Below are 14604 nucleotides of genomic sequence, written 5' to 3'. Positions count from 1 at the left end.
CTTTTCAAAGTGTATACTCAGTACCAGGCACTGTGCAGGATGCTGAGTTATAGAGATGAAAAAGAAGGGTCTCTTCATTCAAGGAACTGTCGTTATACTAAAATTTATGCCAAAGCTGGAATACTATAAAAGCAAACAGTGTTTAGAGTCCGAAGAAATTAACAAAGACTAGTTTTCAGAAAAGTAGGGCTCGAACTGATCTTGAGGAAAGTATGAGATAGAGATGAGCGGAGGAGAAAAGGATTTTAGTTAAGAGAAACGACATGACCAGAGATGTGGAGGAGGACTGGGTGTGGAGAGTGGAAAGGACAGCTGAATAGTGGGAGATGAAATTAGACTGGAGAGATAATGAAGGATCATATTGTGGATCTTGAAGATCCAGAATTTAACTCCAAAGGGGGAGATGATAAAATACCTTTCCTCTTTTTCAAAATTAGGCTTTAATTCACACCATCAAACCCATCCTTTTAAAGTGTAAAATTCAGTGGTTTTTAGTATATTCACAAAGTTATGTAACCATCACCATGATCTAATTCCAGAACAGATAACATCTTTCTGAATATTTCTGAACAGAGAGTTCATGGGATAAAATTGTTTTTCAAGCAGATTACCCTAGCTACAAGAGCAGGAATGATTATGTGTGATATAGAATTGGACATGGAAGCAAGCTAACAGACTCAGAGGCTTGGGGACCCGGGCCAGAATCGGTCACAGTGCCACCTCCTTTCCATGATATTCTCACCTCATCCATGAAGTGGGATAATTTATTGAAATAATAATCTGTATCTTTTTCTCCTTGTATTTTTCCTCACTCATGCCAAGAGCACGGCCAGACGTTTGTGTTCCCTAGCCTAAGCAGTACTGGAAGCTAATCTAAAATCCTCTCCTGACTTCTGTTTTAGGAATTCTGAACTCAGTGTTGGGATTATATTTGGGGAGAGGAGAAAGGGGACTATTTGGGAGCAGTGGAAGCTGAAGCTGAGAGAGCAGAGATTCCCCCAAACTGGTTGTATGTCACAGTGGTTAATAGAACAGATTCTGGTGCTTGACTATCTGGAATTGAGCCTTGACCTTGGGCATGTCACTGAACTTCTATCTGGGTTTCCTTGAAATGGGGATAATGAGAATCAATGATCTTGTTCTGAGGACTAAATGAATGAACATACATGAAATACTTATAACACTGCCTGTCATATAAGGAGAGCTATATAAGGGTTTGCTTGTTACTATTAATAAATCAGAGAAAAATAAATCATTGGCACAGGGTGGTGGAGTGTTGTCCTGTAAGGACTATTGGGTGGAAACAAGAGTAGGAAAAGATTTACGAGTAATGAAGAGAAAAACCTGAAAAATAGAGGGAATATTAAGGATGCAAGACTTTTAAAAATTAATTGTTATTGACAAAAATTATACTATTTATGGCTTACAAATGTTTTGATAGATGTATACATGGTGGAAATGCTAAATCAAGCTAATTAACATATTTATTACCTCATATACTTACTTTTTTGTCATAAGAACATTTAAAATTGACTCTGTTAGCTATTGCAAGTATGCAAGATGTTTTCATTAACTGTAGCCACCATGTTGTACAGTAGACCTCCTGAACTTATTCCTTCTGTCTAATTGAACATCGGCCTAATTCCCCCCCTAATTTCTCCAACATCTACCTAATTCTTCCCCTTCATCCAGCCCTCGGTAACCACCATTCTACTCCCTGCTTCTATGAGTTCGACTTGTTAAGGTTCCACATATGAATGACATCATGCAGTATTTGCCTTTCGGTGCTTTGCTTATTTCACTCAGCATAATGTCCTCCAGTTTCATCCATGTTGTTGCAAATGGAAGGACTGCTGTCTATTTTAAGGCTGAATAGTATTCCATGGTGAATACAGGAATATATATTCCTATATTCCTCACAATTCTATGTTATGGCTGAATAGTATTCCATTGTGAATATGGGAGTATATATTCTTATATTCCTTGCATTTTATTGTGTACAAGGATTCTCTTTTCTCCACATCTTCACCAACATTTGTTATCCTATCTTTCTGATACATAATAGACATCCTAACAGGTGTCGGGTGACATCTCATTGTCAATTTCTGATGTCATTTCTGATGACATTTCTCATGTCATTTCTGATGATTACTGATGTTGAGCATTTTTTTCATCTACTCGGCCATTTATATGTCTTATGTCTTTTTTTTCTTTTAGAAAAAGCTACTCAAGTCCTTTTTAAATTAGATTACTTGTGTTCTTGTTATCTAGTTGTTTGAGTTCACTGTATATTTTGCATACTACCTATCAGGTGTATGATCCCCAAATATTTTCTCCCATTCTGTGGATTTTTTCTTTATTCTGTTGATTGTTTCCTGTGCTGCATGTAAACTTTTAGTTTGATGAAAGCCCATTTTTCTATTTTTGTTTCTGTTGCCTGTGCTTTTGGGGTCATATCCATAAAATCTTTGCTAGGCCAATGTCAAGAAGATTTTTGGGTCTTACATTTAAGCATTTAATCCATTTCAAGTTGATTTTTATATATGGGGTGAGATAGGGGTTCAATTTCATTCTTTTGCATGTGGATATTAAGTTTTCCCCACAGCATTTTGTGAATAGACTGTCCTTTCTGGGTTGTATGTTCTTGGCACCTTTGTGGAAGATAGGTTCATCGTAAATCCATGGACTTATTTCTGGGCTCTCTGTTCTGTTCCATGGGTCTATAATGTCTATCTTTGTAGCAGTACCAAGCATTTTTCATTACTATGGCTTTATAGTAGATTTTGAGTTCAAGCAGTGTGATTCCTCCAGCTTTGTTCCTTGTGCTCAATCAAAAGTGGTGATTGAGGTCTTTTGGTGATAAGGGTCTTTTGTGCTTCCATGTAAGTTTTAGAACTCTTTTTTGATATTTCTATGGGGAATGCCACTGGAATTTTGATAGGGATTGCATTGAGTCTCAGATCACTATGGGTAGTATGGACATTTTAACAATATTAATTCTTCCAATCCATGAACACAGGATATCTTTTCATTTATTCATGTCTTCTTAAATTTCTTTCATCAATATTTTATAGTTTTCAGTGTACAGATCTTTCACCTGTTTGATTAAATTTATGTCTAAGTATTTAATTGTTTACATTATACACATTTTTTGATATTATTGTAAATAAAATTGTTTTCTTGATTCCCTTTTTTGATATTAGTGTGTAGAAATGCTACTGCTTTTTTATCTTGATTTTGTATCCCACAACTTTTCTAAATCATTTGTTAGTCCTAAGTTTTTTGGTGGAGCTTTTAGGGTTTTCTATATATGAGATTGTGTCATCTGCAAATGGAAACAGTTTAATTTCTTAGAATGAAAGACTTAAGGCAGATAACCATTTAGACATAATAGAGAAAGGACAGGAAAGTAAAAAGAGATGATCATAAATAGGGATAGAGAAATACATTATTTGACAGAGAATACATAGGGAAATAGATATGAAATAACAAGATTGAGAAGTAAATATATCACACAATGAAAATATAATAGAGTGAGAAGTAAATATATCACACAATGAAAATATAATAGAGCTAGAAGATAGTGGCAAAAACAAGCTGATGAAACTGAGAGAGATCAACTAATGTAGATAGATGATAAGCTCAGAATGATACATAAAAAATAGTGCTAAATGCTAAATGGAAAAAATTCATAATGGGAAGATAAAACGGAGGGTGGAGGTAAGAACTAGGTCGGGGGGATTAAATGGCTTCAGTCTGTGGGATGGGGGAGACTGCTGTCCTAGCCCTGCCCCTTCCTCTCTGCTCACCCCACCCCCACTAGCTCAGCTCTGTCTTCTCCAACTTCTAGGCCATGTTGTCCTCTTCCTTCAGTTAGGAACACTCTGTTCTGAACAGTTCAGAAATCTGTTTTCTTCTGTCTGGTTTTCTAATGGTTTTGTGTATGCAATTCTTTGTCTTTATTCCAGAAGACTGTGTCCCCAGTGAGAGTGGATCTACCACTCCACTCTTAGTATCCTACTCAGTGTGAGGCTAAGAGAAAATGTGTTGCGAGACAGTCCTGGTATAGAAGTTGGACCAGTAGGGGCACAACAATCTCCAAATGCCACTGTCATCACCTGTAGAACATCACCAGTCACTCCTGGAAGGGTCCCCTCTAAAAGCATAAAATAGCAGAAACTTGTCCAGCCTGCCTTTGCACAGAAAAAAAAAATATATGCAGTATGTGAAATATATTCCCTTCTGTGCTTCTTGAGGGTCAGACCTCTGTAACTCTGTATTTTCCTACAAATAATTGTCTCCCCTACAAAACGGAGAGCTCCCAGAGGACACGGACTATGTGGATAGAGTTGCAAAAACGTTATAGAATGAGCAGGACCCTATAATCTGTATCCATCACTTCCAACCATCTGAAAGTTTCCACCATCTTGTAGTTTATGTACTTGGTCCTAAGGACAGAAATTGTGTGGTAAGGAGAAGGGAGATTTTGGTATAATAAAAGAGACATAAGAATTTCCATGACACATGTTCTCAATATAGGACAGGAACCCTGTTAGGATCCAGAGAGAGTTCTGGTCATCTCCGTCAAAGGAAACTCCCCCAGACTGATCTAAACCAGTTCCTTTCCTCCTAGACAAGAGGAAGGAAAAGTCCCATTCATAACCACAGAGAAATGAAAGTCTTCCTCTCTGATTATATGCAATTTACAACAGAGTACTTCATTTGGTGCCCAAGAACCTGTAATAGCTGGAATTACCCTTGTTCCTCTTCCTCTTTGAAGGGTCAGAGCTGAGAAGTGCTCTGTGATTATGTGTCAAGGGATGGCATCTCCATGCCAAACTCGCCCAGCTCTGGTTTTGTGTGTGTGTGTGTGTGCATGTGTGTGTCCCACAGCCAAAATTTTCCCATCTCCTTGCACTGTTTCTCAATTCATCAGTAATGAATTCAAATGATTTTGCCATCTTGCCCATCCTTTTTGGGGAGAAGGAAGGAAGAAAGAGAGAGGAAAGAAAGGAAGGAAGGGATGCCTCCATCCCACAACTTCACATGTGGAGTGAGAACTCTAGTATGAACAAAGCAGAAAAACTGAAGTGGGGTGAGTTGTGATACACCGATGGTTATTGTGGGCCAGAAAATGAGAACCTGGAATGACAGACTCCCCAGATTGTGAAGGTGAATGCTGCCACATGGAGATATGTTGTGCCCAGTTCTCCCCAGGAGTTTTGCCACAGAAGCCCCAGGTAGGCTGGTACACAATATGAAATATTAGAAACGCTAACTCTGGTGGTGCAGACTTAAGTTTTGTGAGCCATATGGTTTCTGTTACCACCACTCAACTTTGCCATTGTACTGCAAAAGCAGACATAGACAATATGTAAACAAATAAACATGGCTATGGTGCAATAAAACTTTATTTACCAAAACAGGAAGAAGGTCCCACTTGGCCGACAGACTGTAATTTTCTGACTCCTGCTCTGAGTGATTGCAAGGACCTAGTTCTGAAAAATCTTGCAACTGTTAGAGTAACTGCAGAATCAGGAAGGATGGAGACAGAAAGGAAGAAGAGGAAGAGGCGGTCAGTAACTTTAGCTGTTTTCAGAACAGGGACGCCCTGACGCATCTGGATCTATGGCCTAGGTACACAAAGAGTAAAAATCCTAGTGTGAGTAATTTTTTGGATAAATTTAGGAAAGCCTCAAGTAGGGCTTTGAGTAATTGTAAGGAAAACAGTTGTGACTAAGAACTGAGGAATAAAACGTGGGTCCTAAGATAACAGAACTTGCTACCTGTATTAATTATCTATTTCTATGTAACAATTTTACCCAAAGTTAGTGACTTAAAAATAAATATTTATTATCTCTAATAGTTTCTATGGGTCGGGAATTTCAGAATGGCTTGGCCAGGTGGCCTGGCTCATGGTTTCTCATAAGGCAGAATCAGAGGTCAGCCAGACTGCAGTCATCTACAGGCTTGATTGAGCTGCAGGGCCTCCTTCACGTGCCTGACAAGCTGGGACTGGCTATGGTGAGACGCCTCAGTTCTTCTCCACATGGGCCTCTCCACAGGTTGCTTGAGTGTCCTCTCAACATGGTGGCTAGCTTCCCACAGGGAAGCAATTCAAGAGAACAAGTAGAAGCTTCAATGTCCTTCATCAACAAGCTTCGGAAGTCACACACCATCACTTCCGCCATAATCTATGGTCACAAAACCCATCCCTGATTCAGTGTGAAGGAGGCTAACAAAGGATGGAAATACCAGTAGGTAAGGATCATTGGGGCCCATCTTGGAAGCTGTATACCTAGCACCATAATATCAAAGAGAGCTAAAAGATGTAGCTCTCAGTACAGCATCTGTCTATTAGGATGGCTTAGGAATTTGTATTAGTTAGAATGTACTGGAAGAAAGGAAACAACAAAAAAAGACCCAACTTAATGTTGCTTAAGTGATGGTGTTTGTTCACTTAAAAAAGAATCTAAAGGTGGGAGGATTCAGGGTTGGTAAATTCAGCAGCTTGATAACAGGTTCTTATTAAATCTTTCTGCAGTTTTCTTGGCTTTTCCCTCTTCATCACAAGATGGTTGCCACAGCCCACATTTCATGCTTACGAAGTTGCTTGTCAAAGCAGAAAAAAGAAAGGAATCTCTGTGGGATAGCCAGCTAACAGTCTTGCCACAGAAACCCAATATATGAACATGAGGCTGAATTCAGTAATCTGAAACAGTACACTTGTAACTTCCCTAGAATCAGAGGATCTTAAAGATAACCAAGTCCAGCCTCCATCTGATGTTTGTGTCCCTTCTAGCACATCCGGGGAACATAGCTAACCACCAAGATTCCCTTTCACTGTAGTAAGTTAGCATGGACTCCCTGCATATGTGACAGAGCCTTTTGGTCTAAGTACAGAATTATAAGAAATGTAAAAAGTTGAGGCCAAGCTATTTGGAGGACAATCCCTGAGCCTCTAACTGGTAACAGGAACTATGCGAGCCCAATGGGGGTTTTTTTATTGGGAACTGCCTCCGTCACTCTCTGACTGCCATGTAGATGGGCAGCTCATCTCTCCTGTCCTTGAAGTGAATTCCAGGAGAGACATCCCCCAAATGACTTTTTCTCATAACAGTAAAATTCAAAATTGGATGACTAAGATCCAGGGGTAAAAGTTACCAGGAGAAAAAGATTCCCAGTTTAATCCTATTAATAATTTTTTTAACAATTAGTATAATCCAATAATGGATTTGCTTTGCCGAGTGATGGCTTCAAGTAGATCTCCACAATAACCTAATAAAAGAGTCTATAACAGGCATTCCTATATAGGATAAAAAGTTAGCATAGTATAACCACCAAGCTCCCTCCTCCAAAATCAGTTGTTCTATGTTTATTGCTGGGATTTCTTCCTCATGTCAAGCCTAAACCTGTTTTCCTAGGCTTTCAGCCTCTTTCCTGAAGTCATGGCGTATCAGAGCCGATGTAACCTTAGAGACTATGTGCCCCTGTGTTTCTCAAATATCTTCAGTCAGTGCTTCTAATTATATAGAATAAATATTGTCTGACCTTCCTTTGTTATTTGAAATTTCAAAATCATATTTTAATCAACTTTTTAAAAATATAATTTACATAGAATAAAATATAGTCATTTAAGTATACTATTTAACACATTTTGAAAAATGTGCAACCATCACAACAGTCAAGATACAGATTATTTCCATCACCCCAAAATGTTCCCATATGCCCCTTTGCATTCAATTCCCACCACTCCTGGCTCTGCACCACTAATCTGCCTTCTGTCAGTATTGGGTTTTTTGGGTTGTTTTTTTTTTTCCTATTCTAGCATTTTATTTCTTAAGAAATTGAATCATAAAGTCTGAACTCTCTTGTGTAGCTTGGGCCCAGCAAATGGTTTTGAGATGCCTACATGTTACTGCATATAACAGTGTTATTGTTCAGCAGTTGTCCATTGTATGGATGTACCACATTTTGTCAATCGTTCTCTGGTTGATGTACATGTGAGTTGTTTCTGGTTCAGAGCAATTATGTATATATCTGCTGTTAATTTTCATGTACAAGTTTACAGTTTTTGTATGAAATGAATGTCTCGGGCAAAGGCCTAGCATGAAATTGTTGAGCTGTATAGTAAGTATACTTGAAGCTTTATAAGAACTGCCAAGAGGTTGTACCATTTTACATTCCCACCAGCAGTGTTTGAGAGCTCCAAGTTGCTCCTCATCCTCATCCATACTTGGCATTCTCATATCTTTTAATTTTAGCTATTCTAGTGGATATGAAATAGCATCTCATTGTGGTATCGATTTGCCTTTTCCAGGCAAAATGCTGTTAAGCATCTTTTCATGTGCTAATTGACCATTTTTATATTTCTCTTATGGAGGGTCTGCTCGAATCTTTTGCTCAATTGAGTTGTGTCATATTATGGAGCTGCAAGAGTTCTTTATATATTCTGAACATCAGTCCTTTCTCACATATATGTACTGCAAATATTTTCTCCCAGGTTGTGGCTTGTTTTTTTATTTTCTTAACAACATTAATTTTATCAAAATTAAAAACTTCTGGCCGAGCGTGGTGGCTCATGCCTGTAACCCCAGTACTTTGGGAGGTTGAGGCAGGTGGATCACTTGAGGCCATAAGTTCAATACGAGCCTGGCCGACATGGTGAAACTCCATCTCTACCTAAAATACAAAAATTAGCTGGGCATGGCGACACGCACCTGTAGTCCCAGCTACAGGGGTGGCTGAGGCATGAGAATCGCTTGAACCTGGGAGATGAAGGCTGCAGTGAGTTGAGATGGTGCCAGTGCACTCAAGCCTGGGCAGCAGAGTGAGACTCTGTCTCCAAAAATAAATAAATAAATAAATATTAATTTAAAAAAACTTCTGGTCTTCAAAAGACACATCTAATTTAAAATTATTTTCTTTTATAGATCCTGCTTTTAGTATAGTACCTAAGTAACCGTCTCCTAACCAAAGTCATAAATATTCTTTTCTGGATACTCTAGAAGATAATCTCCATTTCTTTGCCTTTCCAGCTGCTAGATGCCACCCATATTCTACTCCTTGGCTCATGTCCTCTTTTCTCCATCTTCAGAGGCAGAAACACTGCATTCCTCTGTGCCTTCCTCTTGTAGTCACATCTTCCTCTCTTTCCTCCTTGTTTCTCCCATGTTTAAGGACTCTCATACTTAGATTGGGCTCACCTGAATAATCCAGGATAATCTCCCCATCTGAAAGTCCTTCATTTGATCATACATGCGACATCCTATTTTTTCATATAAGGTAACATCCTCATGTTCTAGGGATTAGAACATGGACATCTTGGGGGGGGGGATCGGTGAGCATCATTCTGTCTACCCCACCTGTGGATTGTTCCAGCATCATTTATTGAATTACCTTTTTGTTTTTGCTGAAAGTGGTTGTCTATGCATGTGTGAATCTCTGCCTGGACTCTATTCAGCTGCATTGATCTATACATCTGTCTTGCAACAGTATCACGCCCTCTTGATTTCTGCAGCTTTATAGAAATCTTCACATAAGTTTTCCGACTTTGTCCTTCCCTTTCAAAATTGTTTTCACTATTTTTGGACATTTCCACTTCCTATACATTTTAGAGTCAAATTGTCAATCTCGATAAAAAGCTCTCCTGTGTTTTTAGACAGCTTGATTGAAGTATAATTTGCATATTATAAAATTTACTTGTTTCAAATATAAAATTCCAAGAGTTTCAGTAAATTTACACTTGTGCAACCATCACCACAATTCAATTTTAAAACATTTCATCATCCCCAAAAGATCCCTCATGTTCATCTGGAGTAACCACCCTTTTTCACCTGTAGTCTCTGGCAACCACTAATTTACTTTCTGTCTCTATAGATTTGCCTTTTAGGGATATTTTATATAATAGAATCATATGATATGTGATTTTGGGGGCCTGGCTTCTTTAATTTAGCATAAAGCTTTTAAAGTTTTTCCATTGTATAGCATGCATTAGTATTTTGTACCATTTATTGCCAAATAGTATTCCCCATAAGGATAGAGCACATTTTGTTCATTCATTCACCAGGCATTTTATTGTTTCCACTTTGGAGTTACCATGAATAATGTTGCTGTGACCATTCCTATATAAACCTTTGTGTGGATACATGTTTTTATCTATTTTGGGTAGATATCTAGGAGTGGAAATGCTGGATCATACTGTAAATTTACACTTAGCTTTTTGAGGAGCCACTAAGCTATTCTTCAAGGGTGTGTCATTTTACCTTCTCTCCAGCAGTATATGGGGGTTTCAGTTTTTTCTTTTCCACAATCTCACAAACCCTTGTTATTGTCTATGTTTTTTATTATAGAGCCTTTCTAGTGGGTGTGAAAGGATATCTTATTGTAGTTTTTATTTGTATTTCTCTAATGACACCTCATCTATCACCTCATGCATTTATCATTTCTTTGTGGTGAGAACATTCAAAAGTCTCTCTTCTAGCTATTTTGCGATATACAGTATTTTACTATTAGCCATAATCACCCCACCATACAATAGAACACCAGAACTTATTCCTCCCATCAGTGGTGACTTTGCTCCCATTGACCAACCTCTCCTCATCTGCTTCTTCCCCTTCCCCTTCCCAGTCTCTGGTAACCACTGTTATACTCTCTGCTTCTATAATATCAACTCTTATGTTTTTAGATTCCATATATAAGTGAGATAATGCAGTATTTGTCTTTCTATGTCTGGTTCATTTTACTTCACATGGTGTCTTCCACGTCCATCCATGTTGTCATGAATGACAGGATTTCATTCTTTTTATAGCTGAATAGTATTTCATTGTGTGTGCGTATATATATATATATATATTTCTTTCTCCATTTATCTGTTGATGGACACTTACATTGATTCCGTATCTTCATATCTTGGCTATTGTAAATAGTGGTGCAATAAACATGAGAGTGCAGATATCTCTTTGGCATACTGATTTCATTTCCTTTGGACTTACACTTTGTAGTAGGATTGCTGCATAATATGGTAGTTCTACTTTTAATATTTTTAGGAAACTCCATGCTGTTTTTCATAATGGCTGTACTAGTTTACAATTCCACCAACAATGTGTAAGTGTTCCCTTTTCTCCACATCCTCACTAACACTTGTTTTCTTTCATCTTTTTTACAACAGCTATTCTAACTGGAGTGAGATGGTGGCTCACGGTAGTTTTGATTTGCATTTCCCTGATGATTAGTGATGTTGAGCATTTCTTCATATGCCTGTTGGCCATTGGTGTGTCTTCTTTTAAGAAATGTCTATTAAGGTCTTTTGCCCATTTTAAAATCAGACTTTTTTTGTTTTGCTTTGCTTTGTTGTTGTTGTTGTTGTTTTGCTGTTGAGTTCTTTGAATTCCTTATCTATTCTGGATATTAATCCTTGACAGATGTATACTTTGCAAATACCTTCTCTCATTCTGTAGGTTGTCTCAACTCTGTTTTTTTTTTTATTTTTGTTTTTGCTTTGGAAAAGCTTTTTAGTTGGATATAGTCTCATTTGTCCATTTTTGCTTTTGTTACTTGTGCTTTTGAGGTCTTATTTAAAGACTCCTTACCCAACCCAATTTGTGAAGTAATTCCCCTATGTTTTCTTATAGTAATTTCATAGTTCTGGGTTTTACGTTTAAGTCTTGAATCCATTTTGAGTTGATTTTTGTATACGGTCTTGTATACGTAGTTGGTTTTGTACATGTAGAGGTAGAGGTTTAATCTGAAGACCACCTGCTGCAGAATCCCTTCTTGCTCAGGGGAGGTCAGTCCTTTTGTTCTATTCTGGCCTTCCACTGACTGGGTGAGGCTCACTCACATTATGGAGGAGAGCATGCTTTATTCAAAGTTTACCCATTTAAATGGTAAACTTATCTAAAAACAGCCTCGCAGGGACATCCAGAATAATGTTTGACCTAATAGCTGCGCTCCGTAACCCAACAAAGTTGACACAAAATTAACCATCACAAATGACTATGCATTTATTTAGATCTTTTAACATTTCTCTCAGCAATCCTTTGTAGTTTTCAGTGTGTAAGTTTTGAATGTCTTTGGCTGAATTTATTCCTAAGTATTACATTTTTTTTGCTGCTATTGTGAATAGAATTATTTTCTTAATTTCACTTGTAGGCTGTTCGTTATACTACCAACTTTTTTGTGGTGGTGTTGTTGTTGTTGTTGTTAACTCCTTGGGACTTTCTCTCCAGAGAATCATATTCTCTGCAAATACAGTTTTTCTTCTTTCTCTCCAATATAGAAGACTTTTACTTCTTTTTCTTGCCTAATTGCACTGGTTAGAACCTTTAGTATAATGTCAAATAGAAGTAATGACAGCAAATATGTTTGACTTGTTTCCAATATTAGGGTGAAAGTATTTAATCTTAAACCATTAAGTATAATGTTAGAATAGGTTTTTCACAGATGCCCTTTACCAAGCTTAGGCATTTCCAGTTTGTTCTTGATTTTCTGAGAGTTTTCATTAGGAATGGATATTAATTCTGTCAAATGCTTTTTCTGTGTACATTGAGATTATCATAACCTTTTTTTGTTTGTTAAATGGTGAATTACATTGGTTTTTGAATGTTAAACTAAGATTGCATTTTTGGGAAAAATCCCATGAAGTTATGATATGTTATCCTTTTATATATTGTTGTAACTGATTTGCTAAAATTGTATTAAGAATGTTTGCATCTGGCCGGATGCAGTGGCTCACGCCTGTAATCCTAGCACTTTGGGAGGCCGAGGCAGGCAGATCATGAGGTCAGGAGATCGAGACCATCCTGGCTAACATGGTGAAACCCCGTCTCTACTAAAAATACACACGCAAAAAAATTAGCTGGGCATGGTGGCGGGCGCCTGTAGTCCCAGCTACTCGGGAGGCTGAGGCAGGAGAATGGCGTGAACCCAGGAGGTGGAGCTTGCAGTGAGGCAAGATTCTGCCACTTGCACTCTAGCCTGGGCAACAGAGCAAGACTCCGTCTCAAAAAAAAAAAAAAAGTTTGCATCTATGTTCATGAAAGATATTGGGCTATAATTGCTGTTGTTTGCTGTTATTATTTTAATTCTAACGTTTTTATCTGGGTGTGGTAAAAATGCTGGTTTAATTGAGAAGTATCCTCTTCATCAATTTTCTGGAAGAGTTCGTGTAGAACAGATATTATTTTTTCCTTAAATGTTTGGTAAAATTTACCAGTGAAGCCATGATCTACTTGGGTAAATGTACCATGTGCCCTTAAAAATAATGAGTATTCTGCTATTACTGGATGGAGAGCTCTTGAAATTCATATTAGATAAGATTTGTTGATAACCTCCATCCCTACTAATTTTCAGTTTACGTGTTCTATGACTTATTGAGACAGAGTATTGAAATCTCTGACTGTAGTTGTGGATTTGTCTATTTCTTTCTGTAATTATATCAGTTTTGCGTCATGTTTTCTAAAATTCTACTATCAGGTGCATAAATAGTTATGATCGTTATGCTCACTTCTATTATTTGACCCCTTTTCCATTATGAAATCACCTTCTTTGTTGCTTATAGCATTCTTTGCTTTGAAATCTATTTTGGCACTCCAGCTTTTAGACACTCAAGCTGTCTCTTGATTTATTTTTGAGATATTTGTATCTTTATATTTACAATGGCTTTGTTCTAGGCAACATACATCATCATTCTGTTTTATCTAATATGCCAATCTCAGCTGTTAATTGACATATTTGTACTATTTGTATTTAATGTGATTATTGGTATGACTGAGTTTAAATCTAACATCACTATTTTTCTATTTGTCTTATCTCTGTTCCCTTTTTCTTCTTTTTCTGCTTTTCTTTGAGTTAACTGAGTACTTTTAAACATCCCATTTTTGTTGACTTATTAACTGTAAGTCTGTTATTCTTTTAATAGTTGCTTTACAGTTTATAGCACATTTTTAACATCACAGTCCACCTTCAAGTGTCATTCTATTACTTCCTGTATAACATAAGAACTTTATAACATTTGTCTCTTCCTGAACTTTCTGCTATTGTCATAAATTCTATTTCTACATGTATTATAAACTCTACGCTACATTGTTATTATTTGTGTTTAATCAATTATGTCTTAAATATACTTAAATGACTTTTTAAAAAATCTTATATATTTGCCAACATATTTACCATTTTGGGTGCTTTTCATTCCTTTATGTAGTCTGCATTTCTATCTGGCATCATTTTTCTTCTTCCTAAAGGACTCACTTTAATATTTAACTCTTACTGGCCGCAAATGTCATCATTTTGCCTTTTTAAAATATATTTTGTTAGGCATAGAATTCTAGATTGACTGTTTTCTTGCAGTATTTTAACGATGTTGGTCCCTGTCTTCTTGCTCTCAATATATCCTACAAAAATGTATGGTCATCCTCAACTTTGTTTTTCCCTTTGGTTGCTTTAAGATTCTTTTTTTTTTTTTTTTTTTTTTTTGCAAGATGGAGTCTCGCTCTGTCGCCAGGCTGGAGTGCAGTGACACGATCTCGGCTCACTGCAACCTCTGCCTCCCAGGTTCAAGTGATTCTCCTGCCTCAGCCTCCCAAGTAGCTGGGACTACAGGTG

The sequence above is a fragment of the Homo sapiens genome, chromosome 12, assembly GCF_000001405.40.
Source record: "Homo sapiens chromosome 12, GRCh38.p14 Primary Assembly".
NCBI classification, from domain to species: domain Eukaryota; kingdom Metazoa; phylum Chordata; class Mammalia; order Primates; family Hominidae; genus Homo; species Homo sapiens.
This window is presented reverse-complemented; position numbering follows the sequence as displayed.